The following is a 25,078-nucleotide window of genomic DNA, read 5'->3' on the forward strand; positions in this document are numbered from 1 at the left end:
CCCAGCTCTGTTAGATGTAGGTGAGGGGTGATATGGTTTGGCTTTGTGTCCCCACCCAAATCTCATCTTGAATTGTAATTCCCATGTGCCAAGGGAGGGACCTGGTGGGAGGTGATTGGATCTTGGGGGCATTTTCTCCCATGCTGGTCTGGTGATAGTGAGTGAGTGTTCATGAGAGCTGATGCTGTTAAAGTGTTTGGCACTGGCCAGGTGCGGTGGCTCAAGCCTGTAATCCCGGCACTTTGGGAGGCGGAGGTGGGTGAATCATCTGAGGTCAGGAGTTCGAGACCAGCCTGGCCAATGTGGCGAAACCCTGTCTCTAGTAAAAATACAAAAAAAATCAGCCAGGCGTGGTGGCGGGTGCCTGTATTCCTAGCTACGTGGATGGCTGAGGCAGGAGAATCGCTTGAACCCAGGAGGCAGAGGTTGCAGTGAGCCGAGATCGAGCCACTGCACTCCAGCTGAGCAACAGAGTGAGCCTCTGTCTCAAAAAATATTAAAAAATAAAGTGTTTGGCAGTCTCCCTCACCACGACCACCCCCTCTCTGTCCTGCCACTGTGTAAGATGTGTCTTGCTTCCCCTTTCCCTTCCAACATGATTGTGTTTCCTGAGGCCTCCCCAGCCACGCAGAACTGTGAGTCAATTAAACCTCCTTTATTTATAAATTACTGTCTCAGGTATATCTTTATAGCTGTGTGAGAACAGACTAATACAAGGGGCTTACTTTCCTGTGAACCTCAGTTTTTGCCCCTATAGGTGGAATACTAATGGCTGATTAATTCCTGCCTCATCAGATCATTTGAGATTTAAACCAGAAAAGGCAGACTAGGTGCTTGGCTCCCTGCTGAGAACGTAGTAAGGACTCCCTCGATGTGAGCTCAGGGCAGGTCAGGCAGGTAGCTGGCCTAGACAGCTGGGGCAGGAGGAGAACATCCGTGCAAAGAGGCTAGAGGCCCTCAGCAGCAGCGTGGTGGCAGCTGTTGGATCGGCTGGCCACACTTCCACAGATCTGGCCCATAAGGAGACAACACTCCAGATGGATGTAGGTGGGTTCTTACTTCACAGTGGGCAAGATCAGGTTGGTGTTGGCTCCCACATCCTAGTCCCACAGGGTGACCCCAAACTGGAAGGGCCAGACAACAGATGGCATCAGTGGTGGGTCACTCTGTTATTGAGGAAGCAACTCTGGACACAGCTAAGTGGTTTTGTAGTCTTCATCTGTACCAAAGTGGGGCAAGATGGAAAGCGCCAAGTCTCACTAGAACGAGGGAGGCCGATGAGAAATGACCGTGCTACAGCTCCTCACAGGACTGCTGTCTTGCAGCACCCCACGCAGGATCCTAGGGCCTTCCGTCAAGATTTGGGTTGGACTGTGCTTTAGTCTTGCCTATGGGGCTTTTGCAGAAATACACAAGGTCACCGGGGCCCAGAGAGTAATGAGAGAGGCAGGAAGACATTTGTGCTCACCTAGAACAGTGCCTGGCACATTGTATATGCTCAATTAAAAAGTGTTGGATGAATGAATGAATTTACCCCACAGTATTTAACAAACCCCTGCCTGGAGCAGGCCCTGTTCTGGTTGCTGGGAATTTGGAGATAAGTGAGGCTTAGCCCATGCTCTCAAGACCTCACGTGACAGTGCCAGAGATGCTTCAACTGATCATTAGCAAAGTGTTCTGAGATCTCTGAAAAAGCTAAGCATGGCTCGGAGGCACTGACAGTGGAGTGTCTGCATTTATGAGAGCATTTTGGGTGGCAATTGGCAGAAATGTCAAAGCCGTTGAAACAAACAAAAGAAAGAGACTTAATTGGCTCATGAAACTGAAATGCTACCTGCAGGCATGGCTGTATCCAGGCACTCAAACAACATCAACATAGTCTCTCTCTCTCACCCCGTCCCCACTCACCCATGTCTCTTGGCTCTGTTTTCCTCTGTGTCACCTTCCTCCTGGCCAGCTTCCTTGTCGTGGTGGTCCCCAGCCCTTCTAGGTGTTCATCATCCTGAGGACTGGCAGTGGCAGCAGAAAGAGGGCTCCTCTTTCCCAGTAGCTCTCCCAGAATTCAAGGATTGACTCAAACTAGCCCAGTTAGGTCGTGGGCACATCCCTCCACAAATAGCACTGTGGGACGCGAAAGTGATCAGCTCCATCCAAAGGATGTGGAGGGAGGGTGAAGCGGGAGAGGCTCTCCAAGGGAAAGTGAGGATGCTGCTAGGGAAGAGGAGGTGGATGCTGGGCAGGTACAGACAACAGATGTCCACTAGATCCACCTAGAAGACCGTTCATTCAAACTTGATTATGTGCACTGGGTGGAAATTTATTGGATGGGACAGGGGAAATAGAATGGGAGGAAGGGAATCTCTGGCAGAGAGAACAGCATGAGCAAAGGCCCAGAGGGAGAGAAGTGGATCACAAGGAATTGGACCAGGAGATGGGTAGGTGGTTGAGGTTGGAGGATTGAGCAGAGGCCAGATGATTGAAATCCTTGAATGTCAAGTGATTCAAAGAGGAAAGAGCTATGGTTAGATTTGCATTTTTAAATTCATTCATCCAACACATATTTACTGAGCAACTACTATGTGAATAAGCAAAGTCCCTGATTATATTCTAATCATACCCTAGGGTAGTGCTAGGAAGCAAGACTGGAGACGCTGAGTCTGGAGGCAGGGAGAGGGAGGAGGTTGCGCACCAGTCTAGACGGGAGTGGCTAAGACTTAGCTGGGGCGTGGAGCACATTTCCCCTGCATCAGCTCTACTCAGGGCCAAACCTTTGCTATGTAGAGTGAGTGCAGGAAGCAGATCTCCAGGCTCTTGTGTGATGCTCCACCAGGGCAGCCTGCTGGGAACATTTTTGTAGCATCTGTTTGCACAGGCTGTCACCAACAGAATTAGCCTAGATTTGAATCCTTGCTGTCCCATGCACTGGCTGTGTGACCTGCCGCACCTCTCTGGGCCTCAGTCTCCTCTGTTAAATGACTTTGTGCTGGCACCTACTTTGCAGAGTTGTCATGACGATTAAATGGGATAGTGTTTGGCGCCTAAGAAGTGCTCAATAAATGACGATGTTATTAATTACTATTGTTACTGTGACTGTCTTCAAGGGACATCCACTCCTGAAACTCATCTTCCTCTCTTGGAAACTGGGCACCATGATAGCAAGTGCCTTAGTGGAATGGTAATCCACTTAGTGGCCATGTGACCTTGTGCACATGACGTCACCTCTCTGTGCCTTGGACTCCTCATGGGAAAAAATGGGGCTAATATTAGTACCTGCTTACAGGGCTGTTATATGAATTAAATAAATCATGGTAAGTCCTGAGGAGAGTTCCTGGCACGTAGTAAACTCTCAATAAATGTCAAATAAATAATTATTATTATGTATTTGTAATATTATGTTGCAATAGTTCGTTATATTAATATAATATGTTATAATAACATAGATTATATTATATTGCAACATCATAATAATAAGTATTATTATTCGGTAGTAGTAGTTTAGATTGACCATCTGCAATCTGAAAATCTGAAATGCAAAATACTCCAAAATCTGAAACTTTTTGAGTGCTGACATGCGGCTCAAGGGCAGTGCTCACGGGAGCATTTTGGATTTTGGATTTTCAGATTCAGAGTGCTCAACTGCTGAGTGTATATATAATGCAAATATTCCAAAGTCTGAAAAAGTCTGAAATCCTAAACACTTCCAGTCCCATGCATTTGGGATAAGGGCTGGTCAGCCTATAGTATGTTATTAACAAGGAGGGGTTAATGATGACATTTAAAAAAAGCCTTATTAGGCCAGGTGCAGTGGTTCACGCCTATAATCCCAGCACTTGGGAGGCCTAGGCAGGCAGATCGCCTGAGGCCAGGAGTTCAAGACCATCCTGGTTAACATGGCAAAACCCTGCCTGTACTAAAAATACAAAAATTAGCTGGGTGTGGTGGCACACGCTTGTAGTCCCAGCTACTCGGAAGGCTGACGCAGGAAAATCGCTTGAACCCGGGAGGCAGAGGTTGCAGTGGGCCAACATCACGCCATGGCCCTCCAGCTTGGGTGACAGAGCAAGAATCCGTCTCAATAAAAATAAATGAATAAATAGCCCTTATTAAATGGCTGTTCTCAGAATCATCATCATTATCCATTAGACACTTAGAGGGAAAATGACTGCATTTGGGTTTGGGGATAAAAGGGCCACCATTTCCTCCCACAAAGGCAGGTGTCTTTCTCTCAGAACACGTGGTTATTAAATATTGCTGTTATTAATATTGTGAAACGACATCAGACTCAAACCCTTCTCCCAGCAGAACAGGAGAAGGAGGCTGGCTCCCCTCCCCTGATCTGTTTCTCCTAGGCTGACCGGAGGGGTGTCCCGTCCCCCGCTTTCCCTCGACGGTTCTGTAACTCCCCAGAAGGCCATCCCAGCTGGCACTTTAGTTTTGCGATTCGGGGATTTCTTTTCTGCCTCATGCCTGGAATAATTTGTGGCTCCATTTACAAGAGCAGAGCCCTTGTGTTCAAGCCCGCTCGGGTCCCAGAAGCAGTGATGCCTGGAAAGCAGTTTGGAAAGGTCAGCTCGGGGCGCAGTCCAAAGTGATTTTAAGTGCCCCAGCTAAGTGCCGGCCAGAATGGGGAGCGCTTTTAATCTATAAGCCTTGCCCTGTGAAGAAAGAGACAACACTGCTCTGAAGCAGTTTGACTGCAAAGTAATAAATCCCTTTGTGTATATAAAAAGTACAGACGTATCTAGCTCACATTTCAGAAGAAAAAAAAATCTCTGCAGTTAGGGCATTGGAGTTGAACTCATGTACATGAATCTATGGGAGGAACTTCATCGAGAAAAAGGAGTTTATAATCGTCATACATTTTTAATTTACAAGGATTTGTTCTGAGACTGCCTGAGATCACAGTTTCCTAAGCTGTGTGTCCTTGAGCCAGTTGCTTCACTTCTCTGTGTCTCATCTGTATAGTGGGAAGAGTGAGTACTCACTTTTGGGTTGTTGTAAAAATTAAATGAATTACTAGCTGTAATGCATTTAGGATAGTGCCTGGAACAGTGTACACACTTAATAAGGGTTAGTTACTATTATCTTATAGTACAGATTTTTGTTTTAGGATTGGCGGCGATTTTCTGCCTGGCACACAGGAAAGCCAGTCTACAGAGTGGCCCTGTTGTTTGCAACAGAAACCTATAATTGTCTGTTTCTCCTTGGTTTTCTGGGTTGAGAGTCCAATGCACACATTTCATCATGCCTTGATTTTTTTTTTTTTTTTTTTGTCCTTTTTAAATCCAACCTTTCAGGACGTACTTCCAGCAAGGCAATTTGGAATTCTTGAATTCCAGAGAGACCTTTCCGGCCACATTAGCTAACAGAGGAACTTTTCAAAACCAAGAGAAGCTTGCAAACCACTGGTTAGAAAATCAACTCATTCATTCATTCATTCTACAAATATTTCTTGTGGGCTTACTATTTGCCAGGTCTGCGTGCCAGGCTCAGGGGTTTCAAAGAGAGCATGGCATATTAAAGGTGTATCCTATGGGGAGCCAGGCCCTGATTTAAGAGCTGTGTATACATCAATCCACTCACCACAATCCTATGAGATCGATCTTATCTTATCCCCATTGCACAGACGCAGAAACTGAGGCAAAGAGAGGTTAAGTATCCCTAAGGACACACAGCTGGTAAATAAAGTCCAGATTCAAATCGAGGCAGCTCAGCTCCAAAATTTGTACTCTTCTCTTTTTCTCCCCAGCTCTTTAATTTGGAAAATTTCAAACCTACAGAAAATGTACCAGTATGGCACAGTGAACATCATATATTTGTGCCATTGACGTAGTCATTGTTTAAAGCTTCCCACATTTTCTTTACCCTTTCCTTTCTCTGTAAATTTTTGTGAAACCATGAGAGTTACTTGCAAACATGATGATTCTTCACCCCAAAATACTTCAGCATGTGCAGTAGTATCTATTACTGCATAACAAGTTACCCCAAACTTTAATAGATAAAAAAACAAGTATTTATTATATCATATCTGTAGGTCAGGAATCTGGGAGCAGCTGAGCTGGTCCTCCACTCAGGGTCTCTCATGAGGCTATAATCAAAGTGTGAGCTGGGGCTGCCTTCACATCAGGCATGGTGGAGCTCATGCATGTAGCTGTTGATTGGAGGCCTCAGTTCCTCCCCACATAGGCCTCTTCATGGGGCTGGGGCTGCTCATGACACATTGGCTGACTTCCCTGAAAGCAAGTGGAGAGAGAGAGAGGAAGAGAGGAAGAGAGGGAGCAAGAAGCCTGGATGGATGCCACAGTGTTTTATGTCAGTGTTTATGTCAGAGTGACATACCATCACTTCTGCCATATTCTATTGGTCACACAGACCAACCCAGGTACTGTGTGGGAGGGGACTACACGGGGGTGTGAAGACCAGGGAGGCAGAGACCACTGGAGTATCTTGGATGCTGGTGACCACAGTGTGTTTCTCTGAATGATGAGGACATTCTCCTACAAAACAACCGTACTATGACCACACATTAATACTGTACTACTACCTAACATTCACTCTGTATTCAAATTCTCCCAGATGTCTCAATAATGTCTTTTTTAATCAGTCTAGATCCATTCCACTTTCTTGACATAAGAACAGGTTGATTGCCCTTTTGGGAAACACTCCTTCCCCACTCTCAGTCCACCTAGTTCAGGAGGGGCCAATTCTGATGCCCCAGCCATGGGTAGGCTTATGGCTCAGATCCAGCTAGTGAACACTCAGCATTGCCCTGGTGACAGCGATTGGTTCAGGGATCAGCATGTGACCGAAGCTGGGCCAATCAGAATAATTCCTGAATTTTAGCTGGGACTGTTAAGGAAAAGGCACCATCTCACCACTAGGGTTGCAGAGCTGGTAGGGTCAGATTAAAGACACTGGGAGCCATCTTTTCTAGCAGCTTGCAGGAGAGGCTTCCTGAGAATGAACTCAAGGTGGTAGAAAGCAAACCTGAGTGATAGAGATGGGGGGAGGGGAGACAAAGAGAGATAATGACTTTATTTTTATTTTTTTATTTTTTTTCAAAAATCCCTTGATCAAGCTATGTCTGAAGCTAACTACCCCTAGGGGTTCCAGTTATGTGAGTCAATAAGTTCCCCTTTTTATTTAAGCCAATTTGAGCTAAAGTTCTTGTTATTTGCAACAGAAAGGGTCCTGACTAATACATGCATCTTCCAGGGAAAGAAAATGACTTACTGTAAATCCTTAACACAGAAACTAATTTGCAGTAGAAGTGTGCTATGAGGAAGCAGGACTGATATTCTTAGAAATTAGAGTTGTTTTGTCTCCTCTATTTGTAAGAGTCTAACAGATGACACAGCAAAATCTCCAGCCCTCCTACCTTCCATAACGGGTTTGCTCATCCATGGAAGTTCATGAAGTTCCAGTTATGCCACTTATTACTGCTGTGACCTTGGCTAAGTCATTTAACCTCTCTAAGCCTCAGTTTACTCATCTATGAAACAGATATATTATTAAGACATAAAATAAGGGGAGAGTAAAATAAGATAGGGCATGTTAAGCATAGGGACAGTACTGAGCATATAGTAAGTGCTCAATAAAATGTAGCCATTCATAGCAGTTCTAAGATGAAAAACCTACTACGTGCGAGGATCTTGCAAAGATACACAAGAAATATAATAGGCCTACCTGAGGATGTCAGAAATCTTCATGGAGGAAGAAAGGCTCAATCTGGCCCTTCCAGGATTCACTCAAATTTAAAAACATAAGCAGATGAATAGAGGTGGGCTTCCTACAAAGAATGTGCAGGAACACAAGTCAATAATAAGAACAGCTGAGATGTATTGAGCACTTACTGTGTGCCAGGCATAGCTGTAAGTGCTTTTCACACATCAACTCACATAATAGTTGAGGTCCTCCCAGCCCTTGAGGTGGGGATTGTGATGGACAGTTTTGCAGACAAGGACACAGAAGCCCAGAGAGGTCAAATCATTTGCTCAAGGTAACTCTGGTCCTGTGTGGAGAGCCAGGATTCAGACCCCAGGTGCCTGAATTCAGAGCCCGCATCCTTAACTGCTCTGCCAACGCTACTGTTGCTTATAAAACGTAAGTGATAACAACGACGGCAGTTACAGAGGCCACATATCTATGCCACAGATACAAAACCCAAATGATATGGATATCAAAGAAAAGGCACAAAGGCCACCCATGCAGCCAGGACCAAGGCCCAGGTCTGTGGGCCTCTTGTCCCTGAGGGGTTAAATGTTCTGTTCTGTGAGAGTGGCCAGGACCAAGCACAGCGCTCCGGGAGGGAAGGTGACAGGCCAGCTCAGGGCGGTGGCCAAAGCTCCAGGCAGCTGGTGGCATCGGGGGCTATGGCCAGCTGTCTCCTGCTGACCAGGCCTGAGCACCCCCAGGCCTCTCACCAGCAAGACCTCCACAGCTGTCAGAGGGGAACAGTGCTTGCCATCCACGGGCAACCCGCAGAACGGGGCCAGTGACCCCGGGGTGAAAGGTTTGCCTGCCGGGCCCCTAGCCTCCTGACTCCATCTGTCTCGCCACCTGCAAGCACCATTTCTGACTTTTTCCTTTGGTATAAATGGGGAGGCAACTATGAAATCAACAGTGGGAAAGGTGCAAGAGGCCCCATCTTCCCAGAGCCCGAGCCTGCTGGCTGTTGAGACGTATAGGCTGAGAAGGCTGGACAGGGGACGCTGACTAGGGGACCCCCGTGCTGGATGGTGCCATGGGTAGGGCTGTCTTGGAATCCCACAGACCCACATTCAAATCCTGGCTTTGCCCCTAAGAGCTGCCTGAGCTCAGGTGAGCCATGCACCCTATCACATCTCTCCTCTGTAAAATGGGCACAGCCCACCTCACAGAGGAGCTGGAAGGATGTAATGAGGTGCCTTCAGTTTCCCTCAAGGTCTAGGAGGGTGTTAAGTCCACCGGAAGTAGAACGAAACTCCTAAGTCGATTCCCGGCTCTTCTGCTCCTCAGCTGTGTGGCCTTTCATAGCCTCCTTCATCTTTCTGGGGCTCAGTTTCAAAATCCGCAAACTAAGGGGCATGATATCCATCTGACAGGGTTACTGTGAGAAATTCAATGCATTTCTATGTGTAAAGTGCCTGGACTTCAGTAAACACTATTAAAAGAAGCAGTAACAGAGTGGTTAAAGGCTCTGACATTTACCTGCTGTGTGATGTTGAGCAAGTTACCTTCCCTCTCTGTGCCTCAGTTTCCTCACATGTATCATGGAGATACTCATGCCCTTATCTTAAAGGCTTGTCCTGAGGGTTAGATGAGACATTATAAAGGCCTTTGGAGCTTAGCAGGTGGCGGGTACATGATAGACATGGGTTCTTTTTTCTTTTTTTTTTCTTGAGACAAAGTCTCACTCTGTGATCCAGGCTGGAGTGCAGTGGTGCCATTATAGCTCACTGTAGCCTCAAACTCCTGGGCTCAAGGAACTCTCCAACCTCAGCCTCCTGAGCAGCTGAGACTACAGGCACATGCCACCACCTAGCTAATTTTTAAATTTTTTTGCAGAGATGGGATCTCACTATGTCGCCCAGCTGGTCTCAAACTCCTGGGTTCAAGTGATCCTTTTGCCTCAGCCTCCCAAAGTGTTGAGGTCACACACGTGAGCCCCTGTGCCTGGCCTAGACGTGGGTTCTGAATTTTACAAAAGTGCTTGGCAACGAATGTTACTGAGTTCTTATTAGTAACATGTTTTCTGTTACTAGCCCTCCTCACCAAGGAGTGGGTGGTGGACAACCTAAGGAAAGATACCTTTTTATTTTATTTTATTTTATTTTTTACTTTTTTTCTTTAGACAAAGTCTCACTCTGTCACCCAGGCTGGAGTGCAGTTGTACAATTACAGCTCACTGCAGCCTTGACCTCCTGGGCTTAAGTGATCTTCCCACCTCAGCCTCCTGAGTAGTTGGGACTACAAGTGTGCACCACCACCCCTAGCTAATTTTTGTATTTTTTGTAAAGACAGGGTATTGCTGTGTTGTACCATTTTTAGGGGGGGAAAACTCTCTTAGAGAAAAGATGGGGAATGGGGCAAGAGGTCTCCTCACATTTAGAGACATTTTTGTGTAGTTGTGTAGTGTGGGTGCCATCCTAAAAGGGAACACCTCAAAAGCCTCCAAAGAGAGTTATGCAGATGTGACTTACCCACATGGCCCAGCTTTCGAGGGATCACACAGCTGGGCTCTGGAGTGGATCTGTGTCCCTTCTCTGACTCTCCTGTGTGACTTGGGCAAGGCCAGCCACTTAACCTCACCAAGCCAGGTCCCATCATCTATGAAATGAGGACACTGACAGACCTGCCTCATTGGGAGGGTTCTCTGTTTTGTTTTTTGTTTGTTTATTTGTTTGTTTTGACAGGGAGTCTTGCTGTCGCCTAGGCTGGAGTGCAATGGCACGATCTCGGCTCACTACAACCTCCTCCTCCCCGGTTCAAGCGATTCTCCTGTCTCAGCCTCCTGAGTTGCTAGGATTACAGACACGTGCTACCACGTCTGGCTAATTTTTGTATTTTTAGTAGAGACGGAGTTTCACCATGTTGGCCAGGCTGCTCTCAAACTCCTGACCTCAAGTGATCTGCCCGCCTCGGCCTCCCAAAGTGCTGGGATTATGGGCGTGAGCCTGCGCTCCCGGCTGGTTCTCTGAATTAATCGGTGCAGAGCAGTGATTCCCAACCAGGAGTGACTCTGCCCCCGAGGGGACATTTGACAGCATCTGTAGACATTTGGCTGTCACATCTAGAGGGGAGGCGTGCTGCGGGCGCCTAGTGGGTAGAGGTCAGGGTTGCTGCCAAACATCCTACGATGCACAGGACATCCCCCACCCCGCCCCCAGCACTCACCAACAACAAAGGACCATCCACTCTGAATGTCAGTAATGTCGATAGACATCCTCACGTAGAGTATTGGCTTCAGCATAGTGCCAGTAAAAGGAAGTGCTTGTGTTTGTTGAATGACTAAATGAACTTGCTCACTGCAAGTCTCAGCTTCTCCTGGCATGGAGAAAATGTATCTCTCTCCCAGAGTTGTTGTGAGATCAATGAGAAATACGCCAGCCTGAGGGCCTCTCTGGGGCCCTGGGAACTGCTGTTGGATGTTGAATGAATATCATAGCAAGGGAACATTCGGAGTCTCAGATCTGGGATTTGGGCAGGAGGGTTCACCCAGGAGGCCAGCTTGCCTGTGTGTAGCATGTAGTTCTTCCAGCTGAAACTGTTTCTCCCTGAAGGATTTCAAGCACGACATATACCCAAACTAAAGAGGATGGCAGCAAAACGTGCAGAAGGAAGCTAGGTTGGATTCAGCCTCCGTGCTCCCGCCTTGCTCATCTCCAAAGCTGTAAGAATTTAAGGGAAACTTACCCCATGTTTTGTTGCCTCATTTGTGCATAATTCATCAAAATGCTGTTCTGTAAAAGAACTTCTCTGTGGCTTGAAACCCTTTGCACACTTGTATCTTTTCCTGCGCTCTCTTTTTCTTTTATATCTCTCCCTCTCTCTCCCCCTTTCTTTCTCATTAAAAAGATGCCTTTTCTCTCAAGTGCAAGAAGCTGACTTGTGCCAAAAACAAGCAGGGTGGATGCTGAAAGTTCCCAGGGTTAGCCTGGAGCCTCCCAACCCTAGACCTTGAGCAACCTCCCAGCTTAAGTAAAATCCTCCTCCCTGCTCTGCTCCCCCTGGATGGCTCTGGGGAGTCCCAGGAATGGCCAGGACAGAGGGAGCCAGGTGAGGGCCTGGCTGCTCCCAGGAAAGAGAGGATGTCATGGTCCTGTTTTGGCCAAGCAGGTCCTGTTTTGGCCAACCAGTGCTCCCGTGCGCAGATCCCTGTGGTGATGGGAGACAATTGCAAGGGTCAGGGTTCGAGACAAGATACTCAAAAGTCCCTTCCAGTGGTGGGCACCTGACTCCAGGGCGGGTTCGTAAGGGCTGCGGTAGCTTCGGGGCAGGTGCAGCCTCGGTCTCCTCACCTGGGCAGTGGGAATAAAGGGGTCTATTCAGATTGTTCGGATGAGCAGTCAGTGAGGAGGAGGATGTGAGGTGTGTGGGTGCTGGGCACTACACCAAGCACTCAGGGCATGCAAGCCACCAGTGTCCCTGCATCTTCAGGGCACTTTCTGAACCTCAGCACCTTCCTCTCCAAAATGAGAAAAACAGCACCCGCTCCATAGTGTTGTTGAGAGGATTCAACAAGCTCCTTGCTACAAAGCCCCCAGTAGGACCTGGCATATAATTCCTGTTTTGAAAATGTTTGTGTATGTCTCACATCTTACCTAATTCATGCCCCTGCCTGCTCATACCAAGAACAGGTATCCAGTAAAAAGGGAGAAGAGTGTAAAAGGTGAAGATGCTACATTTATTTTTTCCTGGCAATTCATTTGATTTTTTAAAAAGAGGCCACATGTTGGTGGCTCATTCCTACAATCCCAGCACTTTGTGAGGCCGAGGCGGGCGGATCTCTTGAGCCCAGTAGTTTGAGACCAGCCTGGGCAACATGGCAAAACCCCGTCTCTACAAAAAATACAAAAATTAGCCAGGCGCGGTGGTGCCTGCGTGTAGTCCTAGCTACTCAGGAGGCTGGAGCAGGAGGATCACGTGAGCCTGGGAGGTAGAGGTTGCAGTGAGCCTAGATCAAGCCACTCCACTCCAGCCTGAGTGACAGTCTGGGTGACAGAGTGAGACCTTGTCTGGAAAAAAAAAAAAGGTTGCAGTTCGCAATAGGAAGGTCCTTTCTTTATTTGGGTAGCCTTAGCCTCGCTGGACCTCAGTTTCCTCATCTGTAAAATGGGGATAATTATAATACCTGCATAGCAGAGGTATTGTGGATTAAATGAGAGCTTTTGTATAAAGTACTTAGGACAGTGCCTGGCAGTTCGTAAGTGCTGTTTTAAGAGTTCGCCACATTCAGCCAGAGTGGACAGTAGACTGACCGATTTTTAGAAAGCCCAAATTCCCTGTGTTTAACCAGCTCTAAAACATCTCAGGAACCTAAGCAGCCTCTCTTGTACCTCAGGTGTTTCTGTCCTGTGAAAAAGGAATGAATTTGCTGGCCGCCTATGGAGTTCCCACAGTTGCGCTGCTTAGTGTTTGCTAAGCCCTCAGAGCCCTGCGGAAATGCAGGCTGCTACAAATGCTATTACCAGAATCCACATTCCCCAGAGCTCTTTGGAGATTTGGGAAGCTTGGGTTTGTTTGGACTTTTCATGACTCGACTCTGGTCATCGTTAGGGCGTTTGATGATCTTAGACGGAATCTGCCTTTCACCTCTGTGGCCTGCTGGGCCCTTCTGGGCGTGTTACAGGAAGGGAATGCATCATTGCTCCTATCTGCCTAGTCAGCTTTTGTAACAAGCTCTTGATATGATGATTTTGTGCTTGGGTAAGCTTTTCAGACCTTCTGCGGCTCTTTGCTGCAGAAGGTGGAGGTACTGGGACAATCAAATCAAGCCATCAGCTGTTGACAGTGGGCCTGGCAAGGTCTCACGGTGCAGAAGACACTGAGCTGTCTCACGCTGGCTTGCAGTTTGGTATGTGGGATCCGGTGTGCCTGGGATGAGAGCACACTCGCAACCCAAGAGGGTCTGAAACCCTAAGCACTCTTCGAGGGTCTTGAGAATAAGTACTGACCTCAGGATCTGGGTCCCTTTCCCAGTGGGGGTTAGAGTCTCAGTGGCCTTGGTTGTCCTCCTCCAGTGCCTGTTTATATTTGAACTTCTTCCTCCTCTGGACCTCACCCATTGGATCCCTGCAGGATTGCTGGACCCTCTGCCAAGACTGGCCATCAGCGGGAGGGCTGCTTCCCTCCCTACTTCTAAGCTCAAAGCCCTAGGAGGTCTTGCCCGTGGAGACGAGGTACATGGCTTTGTGTTTTATTGCCATTTATTGTTCTTGTTATTTTAACATTTATGGAGCACGTTTTAGCTGTGAACTCATTTCTTGAGCATCACTGCGGTCAAAATCTCCCCAGGGTGCAGGGCCAAGGGTTACTTTGATTCTTTTTTTGGCTGTTGCCCTATTTACTTTATTAAAAATATCATTGTGCGAGGGGCTCCCTTTGTTCTAAGAACTTTTCTGGACATGACCCTGGGTCCACCCTAAGCCCCTGATTACCATCATTTGAACATGAGCCTGGGTATGAGTAAGGCCATATAGGCCAGCGGTCAGCAAACATTTTCTGTAAAGGACCATGTCATAAATATTTTTGGCTTTGGGGGCCTCTGCTGTAACTACTCAACTCTGCTCTTATCACATAAAAGCCGCCATAGACAGTATATAACTGAATAAAACTTTATATACAAAACCAGACAGCAGCCAGAATTTGGCCCATGGGCCATAGTTTACTGACTGCCCCCTCCCCACCCACCCAACGTAGATGATGGGGCTTTGTTCTACGAACTCCCTTTTAGTTCTTCCATAGATCTAAAGAGTCAGTTCTTCTTACTGCAGTTTTGGCCTGTTTCTACTTCTTTGTTTGATCCCCTAGAGCGTGAGTTGGCAAACTGAGGCCAACAGCTCAAACCTGGCCAGTTGCCTGTTTTGTAAATAAAGTTTTATTGGAAAGCAGCCACACCCATTCATTCTGTGTTATCTATGGCTGCTTTCCCACTACAACAGCAGAGCTGAGAAGTGGCGTCAGAGACCTCTTGGCCCCCAAAGCCTAAAATATTTCCCATCTAGCTCTTCACAGAAAAGCTTGCTGACCTCTACTCTAAAGAGTTGAGGAATGGCTGGCTGAGAAGCAGACTTTTTTTTGCATGTACATGAAGAGCATTACTAACCCTCCCAAACTCATCTTAGAACTTTTCTCCCAGGTTCTCTTGTCTAGTCTTTCAAATATTTTAGATGTTATTCTCTGGAATCTAAGTTTTTTTTTTTTTCCAAAGTTCCAGACCACTGTTTTTAAACAACTTTGGACTGTGATCCTCATAAAGGACATATTTTATATGTCACCCCTGTAATGACATACAATAAACTGCATACACACAGATGTCCCCACCACACACACAAACCACACAAAACACATACAGAAATGAAAGTTTTAAGAAACAATGCTTGCCTTACTATATGTGATAAGCTCTCGTATTTTCTATGAACACCAGTCAGGATCAGCTTGATGATGCTGTGGTAACAAGTAACCCCAAATCTGAGTGCCTTAAATCAACAGACATTTATTTATTGCTCCTGCTCCACGTTTGCCCTGGATCACTGGGGATCCTGAAGGAGCAGAACATCACACACTGATCTCCAAGTGTCTGACAAGAGTGGTACTCACCATTTCTTTGAATATTTCTTTGGTCAAAGCAGCTCACATGACCATAACTTTCAATAGAGTGAAGAAGTGCAGCCCTACTGTGGACCCAGAAGGTGAATCTGAGATATTTGGTCAACAGCATTAAGATAACTACCATATGGCTGGGCATGGTGTCTCCTGCCTATAATCCCAGCACTTTTAGAGGCCAAGGTGGGAGGATCTCTTAAAGCTAGGAGTTCCAGACCAGCTTAGGCAACATAGTGAGACCTCATGTCTACAAAAAGTTTTAAAACTAGCCTTGCATGGTGGTGCATGCCTGTAGTCCCAGCCACTCAGGAGGCTGATGTGGGAGGATCGCTTGAGCCCAGGAGGTCAAGGCCATGGTGAGCTATGATCTGCACTCCAGCCTGGGCAGCAGAGTGAGACCTTGTCTCAAAAAAAAAAAAAAGAAAAAGAAAAAAGAAAACAAAAGAAAAAAATTACTACCATATTAGTCTATCCCAGGAGTTGGCAAACTTTTTCTGGAAAGGGCCAAATGCTAACTATTTTTGGCTTTGCGGGCCATACCATCTCTGTCACAACTATTCAGTGCAGCAGTTGTCACGTAAAAACAGTCAGAGACAACATGTAAACAAATGGGCTTATCTGTGTTCCAGTAAAACATTATTTATAAAAGCAGGCGGTGGGCTGGGTTTGGCTCATAGGCTGTGGGTTGCCAACCCTGGTCTACTCTATTTCTTTTTTGAAAAACACTGGTCACAGCTCACTAAACTGATTTTATTAACCCATCTATGGGTGAGACTCTATAGTTTGAAAACCCCAAGTGACGATAAGCTGCATAAGATGAGGGACTAATATTTCTTATCAGCTGTATCCTCGGTGCCCAGTACAGGGTTAGTGCTGAGTAAACATTGTTGAAAGAAGCCACTGAAAATCCTCTCCAACTGTTTTTCTGGTGATAAATACTCTGTTCAAGATGCATACGTTATTGTGTTTCTCTCGTAAGGTTGCCTGGAAAAAAACAAAATAAAATAAAGCTGCACACATTATTGTTTAATTCGTAAAAGGTTGACCCTACTTTCAAGGTAACTGTCAGTTCCAAACTTAGAGACACAAGTATTATGTTCACTTCTCTAAGAGCACTGTTCTTCATTCAAGCTTGAGATGATCGCTCCATAAATGTAGTGTTGAAATCTATACTTGTGGAAACCCAGGTCATTGTATATCTGTTTTCTTCATATATATTTATTATTTATTGTGTCAGGGAAAATACATGCACTATCTCATTTAATTTTCTCAAAAATTGCAGGAGGTGGGTGCTAATGTTACTCGCATTGTACAGATGAGGAAACTGCAGCTCAGAGGAATATGCCCAGTGTCTTGGAGCTCAAGACTGGTAGAGATGGGATTGGAGCAGAGTCTCTGACTCCAGAATATGGGGTGTTTGATCATTTGGCTATGGTGTCTCTGGGACATGCCACCACATACCAAGACCTACTCAAGTGCAAGGTCTTTAAATGCTATTGGCAGTTGAGGCCATGTTTTAAGTCCTCTTAGAAAGACACTATATTGTGCTTCATAAGATGATACAAAACATACATGAGCCGGTTCCTTTTATGGGAAAATCTGAAGTTAACAGTGAGATTGGGGAGTGGGGAGGGTTTAACACTTTAACAGCTGTCCTGCTAAGTGTGAGAGTAAGTCAGGCCAAACCTAGTCTCACAGTCAAGACTTTCAGGTAAAAGTAATAGAGAACTCAAGTCAAACTGGTTCAGCAAGTAAAGAGAATTTAGGGGATCAAGGAACTGAGAGTCCAGGGTCAGAGCTCAGTTCAGGTATAGCTGGATCAGGGTTGCTGATGCAGTCAGGATTTCAGTTGTTTTCTGACTCTTGACTTGTTTTGTTCTTCTCCACGTTTTGGGTTTAACCTCAGCCTGCACATGGAGCTAGATGGTGGGGTAACTGAGCCACACCCTCTAAGGCACATAGTAGGTGCTCACCAAATATTTATTGAATGGATGGACTGCTCAAGATTGGCTTAAAAGCTTGATACTTTTATGTAGCTGTTAGGTTGGTATGCATTTTAAGATTTGTGTGTATCTGTCTGTGTGTAGCCCAGAGGTTAAGAGTGGAAGCACATTGCTTTGGTTGCAACCCTTGGCTGTGCCACTTACCCACTGTGTGACTTTTGGCAAGGGTCCCAACCCCAGTTCTGCACCTGCAACTGCCCTATGAAGTAGGTAGTATCATTTTGCATCTATGATGCACAAGGATAGCATGACACAAAGAGGCTGAGGTGCTTGCACAAGGTGATTTATGGAGCTGGGTGTGCACCTTGGCATTCTGGTTCCATAGCCTGTGTTTTTCTCCACTGTGCATGCAAAGTGCTCAACACAGTGCCTGGCACAGAGTAAGCTCCCAGTAATCAAAAGAGCCATCAATCCAGGCTCGTTTAAAGGTGGTGGTGGACAGGGCAAGGGTTTCTCCCAGGATAACATGTAGTGAAGCATGGAGTTGAGTGATATAAAAAATAATCACTTTCCTAGAGTCTGGGAGAACTGAATTATTATTTCCCAGCTGCCACTAATCTGCAGGGGGACCTTGCAGCGATGTTCCCCTCTCAGACAGAGACTCAATTTTCACAACCATAAAATAATCTAAGGAGTCTCAAGTACCCTTCTAGCCCTGATATTCTAAGAGTCTGTGACTTGATGATGCCTGTGAGTTTGGAGGTCTCATGGCTGGGCACTGAGTTTCCAAGATTGCACATGGTTTGGGGTGCTGGAGCTGTGGGGAAATCATGAGGAGTCACTCTGCAGCATCTGTTCCCTGCTCCTCCTTCTGGGTGCTCCTCCACCAAGGGGCAGGAAAGCCCAAACTCCCTTGCAGCTAGGTTTCTAGGAGTAATGGAACATTAAGCAGGCACATGCGCTTCCTTGAAATTCAGAAGGCGGAGGTCGTACTCAAATTGCCTCTGCCGTGTTGGTTGTTTCTGTCACTGTGCAGAGTCTGGAGTAGTTTGGCTTGCTGCACAGCTTTAGCAGAGGCCCCAGCGAGCAGGCACTAGCTTTATGTGTGTTGAGAGGCATGGTGTCTTTGTGTGGGTTCCCAAGAAGCTGACCTCAAGATCAGGGCTCCAGTGCCAATAGTTCATTTAAGAGGTGACTCCAAGAAACACCAGAATGGGAATAAAGAAGGAAGGCATGAAGCGAAGGAAAGTAACAGAGGGTGTGTGATCCAGCAGGTTACTCCCTGAGCATCTAAGGCTACACCCTGATGGGAAAGGGCTTATAACACGTGCCGCTGAGTAATCCCTCCTTAGGGGTGAGGGAGCTGGGGTCTTTATACCCCACATATGCCAGAAAGAGCCTTCAGGTAAAACATTGCACTTGCTGCCGTTTGGAAGTTGGATGGTTTTCATGGAAATGGTATTTGCCGAAGGGATTTAGGCAAGGTAGTGACAGCATCAGCCACGCAGGGCACAGGGCATCCTTGTTGCTTGTAAGGATTCTGGCAAGTGTGATAAGGTCATGAGGCTGGCACATTAGTGGAATGGTTTCCTGATAGAGATATCCACAAGGTGCCTATCATGGAGGGATTTTTTCTGTAACCAGCAGCTTTCTGGTCACAGCACATGTAGCAGTAACCAGTTGTCTGGTGTCGCTTTGGCATTCCCTAAAGCTTATCCTAGCGTCTGTGCCCCCAACCTCCCCAGAAATTCTCTAAGTCGTTTGCTAGCCTGAATTAACCCCTTCCTGCTTAAGCTAGCTGTAGTGGGTTCTACCCTCTGCAACTAAACTCTGGTTGATACCAGTTATAACCTACATCCTGGGTCTGCTGGACAAGCAGAAGAGTGCCAGTCACTGAGGATTAGAACAAAGTTCCCACAACAGCCCTGAAGGGCAACCGGGCTATGCACTTCTACATCATGGGCCACCAGGGAGCTGAGTAATAAAACCACTCTCAGGCGTCAGAGGACTCAGATTCTTGTCCCAGCTCCCCCACTAACCTGCTGTGGGACCTTATACAGGTAATTTTCGTCATCTGAACTTCAAGTGACTAATCTGTGGCCCAGGCAGGAGAGGATGGGGGCGAGAGTGTGGATTTCAGGATCAGATGGGCCAAGTTCAACCTCTCAGAGCCTAAGTTCCTTCATTTGTGAAACAGGGATAACAGGGTTCCCAGAGAAATATTCAGAAGCATCAGAGCCTCTCTGAAGAATTCTGCCACCTCCTGACATTGTCAGTTTCCCTCTCTCCCTCTTCCTTCCTCTCTCTTAACAAATATTTATTATGCTCCTACTTATACCAGGCATGACTATTGGTGTTGAAAGCCCACAAGTCTCTCTTTCTGTGAATCATAGTTTCTGGAGGGTAGAGACAGACAAGAAACAGACAAAGGCACGTGTGTAATGAATGTGTCCGGGGGTGAGAAATGCAATGGAGAAGAACTCCGCCGAGCAATGGGGCAGGAGTAGTGAGGGACCCTCCTTAAGGTAGGGTGGTCAGGGAGGTCTCTCTGGCAGAGGCCTGAGAGGGGCAGGGAGAGCCGTGGGCATGTCTGAAAGGAGAGCATGCTTGGTGGGGGATGGGGCTTGAGGGACCACCACTAGGAGGCCAGTGTGAGAGATGGAGGGTGGCGGGATCTGAGCTCCAGAAGTCAGGGGCGGGATCAGACAGGGCCTCATGGGTTGCGCTTGGCTCTTTAGATTTTACTCTGAGCAAGCCAGAAGCTGGCCTCATTTAACCTCCTTTTAGAAATCGGTGTGATGAATCAATAGCTTTGGCCGTTTGTTCATCAGTCATTCATTCATTCAACAAGGATTTGTTGAGCACCTCCTTTGTGCAGCTCTGTGCTTTTCTAGTTCCTCTGCTGAACAGTGAAGGGCAGAGCAAGCACCCACCGGAATAAGGAGGGAGTTGGGCATTTTGCTAGAGCTCCTGTTTGGTCCAGAGGCCGCACACAATGGAAAAGTAAAGCCTGGTCCCCTCCGCAGGCCACCCCGCACCTGGAGGCATCACCTGGAGCTCTTCCTGGCAGGCTGAGGCCTGCGAGTTCAGCCCCACTGGCTTCCCCGGGGCAGGGGTTGCCCACGCTTGCTGAAATAAGAACCTCATACCAGATCAGCCCCGCATCCCAAGCAGGGCACCCTAAGGATGCTTTTATGTAAGAGGTTGCATTCCCAATTATCTTAAGATGCAAAGTGAAGGTGTTTTGCCCAGGGAAACTCTCTATCAGGAGTCGTTGCACATCTAAACACATGAAAAATGAGACTTCCTGAAACATTCCTATTTCACCCTGTGACAGTTTTGCACAGCTCATAGAGTTCAATTTTCAAATGTCATCCCACTCTGAGAGACCCAATATTTGAAGTCGTGGAAATCTATCTTTAAAAATACTTTTAACAGCATTATTCCTAATATTAAAACTTGGAAAACACGAAAGGGAGATACTTGAGTTGTGATCATAGCAAATGTTCCTATAATATTTAGTGTGTGTCACTGATGCTTTACATATTCTAATTCGTTTCATCTTCATGACTACCCTCTGAGGCAGATGTACTGTTAACCCCACTTTACACATGGGGATGCTGGGGTCTGAGGGCTTGAGAACTCCGCGGGTTAACCCAAGAGTTATGGGACCTGGTTATGGAACCTCAGTGCTAAGGAAAGTGACACCATCATAGGTAGTGTTAGAACAAAATCTTGGGGAATGGTTATGTTTTCCTGTTCGGTGGAAAGGAAGCATCAACATAGAAGATTAGGTAGGAGCTCATGTACACTAAAAATGAAAGTAGATTAGAATGAGCCGGGTTGGAAGTGGGAGAAATGTCCCCAAACACAGGTTTAGAGTTGGCCTTGAGAACATCAGCGGTATGGACAGATGTACGGACACTGGGGCCTGATAATTCTTCCTTATGGCGCTGTCCTGTGCCTTGTAGGATGGTTAGCAGTATTCCTGGCCTCTCCCTCCCCAGTTCCTCTCCCTCCCCAGTTATGACAACCAGAAGTGTCTCTGGACATTGCCAACTGTCCACTGGGAAGTAAAATCACTGCCATTCAGAACCACCAGCACAGATGCTAAGATCATGGGTGGCATTTTTCTTTCCTTTTTCTTTTCTGTGGTTTCCAACTTTCCTTGAATAGGCATAGATCGCGTGAATAAGTAGGAGCAAAGGAGCTCTCGTTGGGATGACCATGCCACTCTCCTGTTCAGAACCTTCCAGCAAATTCCCAATACACTTAGCTTCCCCAGGGCCTACAAGGCCCTGTGTGAGCTGGCCCTTGGCTACTTCTTGGACATGTTCTTCTCTCCCTGTGACCCTTTCTCATCATGTTCCAACCACACGATTCTTCTTTCTGACATTCAGACACATCCAGCTCATTTCCATCCCAGGGCCTTTGCATGTGCTGCTCTGTCCTGTTGCTCTTTCCTACCTCCTCTTCACATCACTTGCTCATCCACTTCAGGGGTCTGCTCAAATATCACCTCCTCCGAGAGGCCTTCCCTGATCACCCTGTCATGAATATTTAAGCGCCTCCTGTTTATTGTAGGTCACCCCTACTAGAGCATCATCTCCAGGGGGACTGAGACATTGTTTAATTTGCTGTTCCATGCCTCACTCCTAGAACAACGATCGGCACATAGTAAAAGTTCAATAAATATTTGTGGAAGAAGGGAAACAGACAGGGAGGAAGGAAGGGGGGCAAATAAGAAAAATAAAATCGGTAAATTTAGGAGCTTACAGTAAAGAAGCAATGTCTCAACCCACACAGCTGTGTTTCTCTCTAAATTCCAACTCATTTTGACTTGTGGTTTGTGGACAAAAGATTTGCGTAGCACGCAGTCTCCTGGCAGCTCGCTCTCTTTGAGGGAACACACTAATACAGTTTTTATGCCACCTCTCTCCACAAATACCATGCCGATGAGTGGCCAGTGTCAAAACAGCAGCAACAACATAAACAGATGCTCCTTCCTTTCAGCCGAGCAAGTGAAGAAACCCTGTGCGTCATTCCTCAAACACCAGGAGATGCCACCGATAGCCACCTCTCCTCACAGTTTCGTTCTGCTCGAGACTGTGAGTTCATGTCAACCCTGAGCTGCGTCCCCAGGGAAATAGGTTCTGCTAACAGTCAGTTCTTACTACGAGGCATTCTCAGAGCCAAGGGGAAGCTGGGTTGGTGGTCTGCAGCTGAAAATCTTTGGCAGAAAATTTACTCGAGGTTTTTCATGTGTGTCATTTGCCTTGATTTTGGGAGTAGGGAAGAAGCACTATCAGTATCTTTGGCCATTCGTAAGGTCAAAATGGATGTCGGCACGTCCTGCAGGCCTTTTCTCAGCCTGAGTTGATTTCCTGGTGCTTGATGGGTGAGCAGAGGAAGGCAGGTTTTCATTCTCTTCTCTCTTCTTTTTCATTCTTTTGCTGCATTATTCATTTCCTTCCACACTCGTTCATGCAGTCATTTTTTTTTTTTTTTGAGATGGAGTTTCACTCTTGTTGCCCAGGCTGGAGTGCAATGGCGCGATCTCGGCTCACCGCAGCCTCCGCCTCCTGGGTTCAAGCAATTCCCCTGCCTCAGCCTGTAGCTGGGATTACAGGCGTGAGCCACCAGGCCCACCGGGCCCAGCTGTCATTATTTATTTAATGAGCACCTACTGTGTGTCAGCCAGGCCTCACACCTGGCACTTAGAGAATCTGAATAAATATAAGGACCACTTTTATACTCAAGAACAAAGGCCACCTCACCAGAAACCTCTACACACTTTGGGGTTCAGGTTTCTTGTGACTTTCTTTTCCTTTTTTGGTTTCATTTTTAATTACAAAAGTAATTAACATGCTTATCATAGAGCAATAAAATGATGCTGAAGTATATAAAGTAAAAATAGATCTTTTCTGACATAACCCCTGTTAATTGTTGGGTATATACCCTTGCAGACATGTTTTAATAAATATAAAAATCATCCACAAATTCATAGAGTTTTCTTTTTACAAAAAGAGGATCAGATTTTACACACCACAATTTGCTAGTCTCCACTTTCATAATCTCGACATTTTTTCACTGTTAGTACATCTAGATCTTATCTGCTTTGTTACTAATAGTAGTTCATGTTGCTTATATGTTACAATCTTAATCTTTCCTATGTTGATCACTGAGTACAGGCATTGGCAAACTTTTTCTGTAAAGGGCCAGATAGTAAATATTTATAGCTTTGCAGGCCATGCAATCTCCATTTCAACTACTCAGTTCTGTCATCATAACATGAAAGCAGCCCTAGACAATATGTAAGCAAAGTGGGTGTGTCTGTGTTCCAATAAAACTTTATTTACAAAATCAGGAAGTGCACCAGATTTGGCCTTCAGGCTATAACTTGCCAACCCCTGACCTTTTTGTCTTCCACATTTTTCTTCATACTTTTGTGTTCCTAAACAGATGTATTCAGGTTTGGTGTTTAGTTTGGTTTAGGTTTTTTGTGGGAGCAGGTGGCAGGAAGAATCACTGATTGTTTTTTAAAAATAATACATTACACCTGCTTAGCATCTGATTTTTTGCCCATCAGTGATATTCATGGAATTGCTTCCAAAGCAATGGGTATAACCCCTACTTATTGTTTTTAACAGCTGCATAAAATTCCATCGAATGGATAGAGGATCTGTATTGGTTAAGGTAATGTCAGCTGCTGTAACAAATAAACCCTATATTCTCAGGGCTTAACACAGTCACAATGGATCTCTCACCTAAGGACCAGTAACAGTGTTCCTGGTAGATGGGTGTCCTCCATGTGGTCAACCAAGGGCCCAGGTCCTTTCCATTGCATAGGTCTTTCTCCCTATAGTGTCTCAGAGGCAAGTCCAATCAGCAGGTAGATGAGAAAAGAGAGGGAAGGGTCTGGTATCCAAGGTCTTAATGGCCAGCCCTACACATTGCACACATCTCTTCTGCTCATGGTCCATTAGCCGGAACTCAGTCACTGGCTGGACCTAACTGCAAGGAGACTGAGAAATGCAGCGTAGATCTGTGTTCAGGAGGAAGAATATCTGGATTTGGTGGGCACATAAGCATCCCTGCCTGTATTAGTCTGTTCTCACGCTGCTAATAAAGACATGCCTGAGACTGGATAACTTATAAAGAAAAAGAGGTTTAGTGGACTCACAGGCCTCAGAATCATGAAAGGCAAAAGGCATGTCTTACATGGCAGCAGGCAAAAGAGAGCATGTGCAGGGAAACTCTGCTTTATAAAACCATCAGATCTTGTGAGACTTATTCACTATCACAAGAACAGCATGGGAAAAACCCAACCCTATGATTTAATTACCTCCCACTGGGTCCCTCCCATGATATGGGGTGGGAGAGATTTGGGTGGGGACACAGAGCCAAACCATATCACTTTCTCTAAAATTAAATGACTTACTTGAGGTAAAGCAGTTACAACAGGGCCTGGTATGTAGGAAGCACTCAATAAATGCACCTCTGCTATTGCAAGCTTGTATTTTTTAAGTATTCTATGATACTGTCATGTCCTTGGGACCTCTGGTCAGCTCTTTACCCCTGCGGGTTACTGTACCCCTTCCTCCTTCTTTACTGCTTCTAATAGCCTATCAATGGCAAGCCTATCAATTATACACACTTGCTAAAATTTCACTCTAAAAACTAGTCAATACCAGGCTGAATAAGATATCAGGAAGATGTCAGGTTCTTATCACTGGAAACTGTACATGTCACCTTATGTGGCAAAAATACTTTGCAGATGGGATTCAGTTAAGGATCTTGAGATGGGGGATTATCTTGGATTATCCAGG

General features: G+C 46.2%; 1 protein-coding gene across 5 annotated transcripts in view, besides 2 other annotated features; it reads left to right on the plus strand.

Annotated features, from left to right (window-relative positions):
• EYA2 (EYA transcriptional coactivator and phosphatase 2) overlaps positions 1 to 25,078 on the plus strand; it is a 294,002-nt gene that overhangs the window by 37,554 nt on the left and 231,370 nt on the right. Inside the window, exon 1 of one of the 5 annotated variants that reach the window (XM_047440010.1) lies at positions 13,541 to 13,880. The exons of the other annotated variants lie outside the window; for them this stretch is intronic. The gene's annotated coding sequence lies outside the window, so the exon portion shown is untranslated. Of the gene's footprint in view, positions 1 to 13,540; positions 13,881 to 25,078 lie in introns of those variants that run through there. 5 annotated transcript variants of the gene reach the window in all.
• Positions 11,410 to 12,103: an enhancer, noted in NCBI's record as "H3K4me1 hESC enhancer chr20:45572445-45573138 (GRCh37/hg19 assembly coordinates)". NCBI's record gives its function as "activates a minimal SCP1, AML or CMV promoter by ChIP-STARR-seq in primed H9 embryonic stem cells {active_cell/tissue: H9 hESC(primed)}" and the evidence as "EXISTENCE:reporter gene assay evidence [ECO:0000049][PMID:30033119]".
• Positions 12,797 to 13,489: an enhancer, noted in NCBI's record as "NANOG-H3K27ac hESC enhancer chr20:45573832-45574524 (GRCh37/hg19 assembly coordinates)". NCBI's record gives its function as "activates a minimal SCP1, AML or CMV promoter by ChIP-STARR-seq in naive H9 embryonic stem cells {active_cell/tissue: H9 hESC(naive)}" and the evidence as "EXISTENCE:reporter gene assay evidence [ECO:0000049][PMID:30033119]".

Source organism: Homo sapiens, chromosome 20, assembly GCF_000001405.40.
Source record: "Homo sapiens chromosome 20, GRCh38.p14 Primary Assembly".
Classification (NCBI taxonomy): domain Eukaryota; kingdom Metazoa; phylum Chordata; class Mammalia; order Primates; family Hominidae; genus Homo; species Homo sapiens.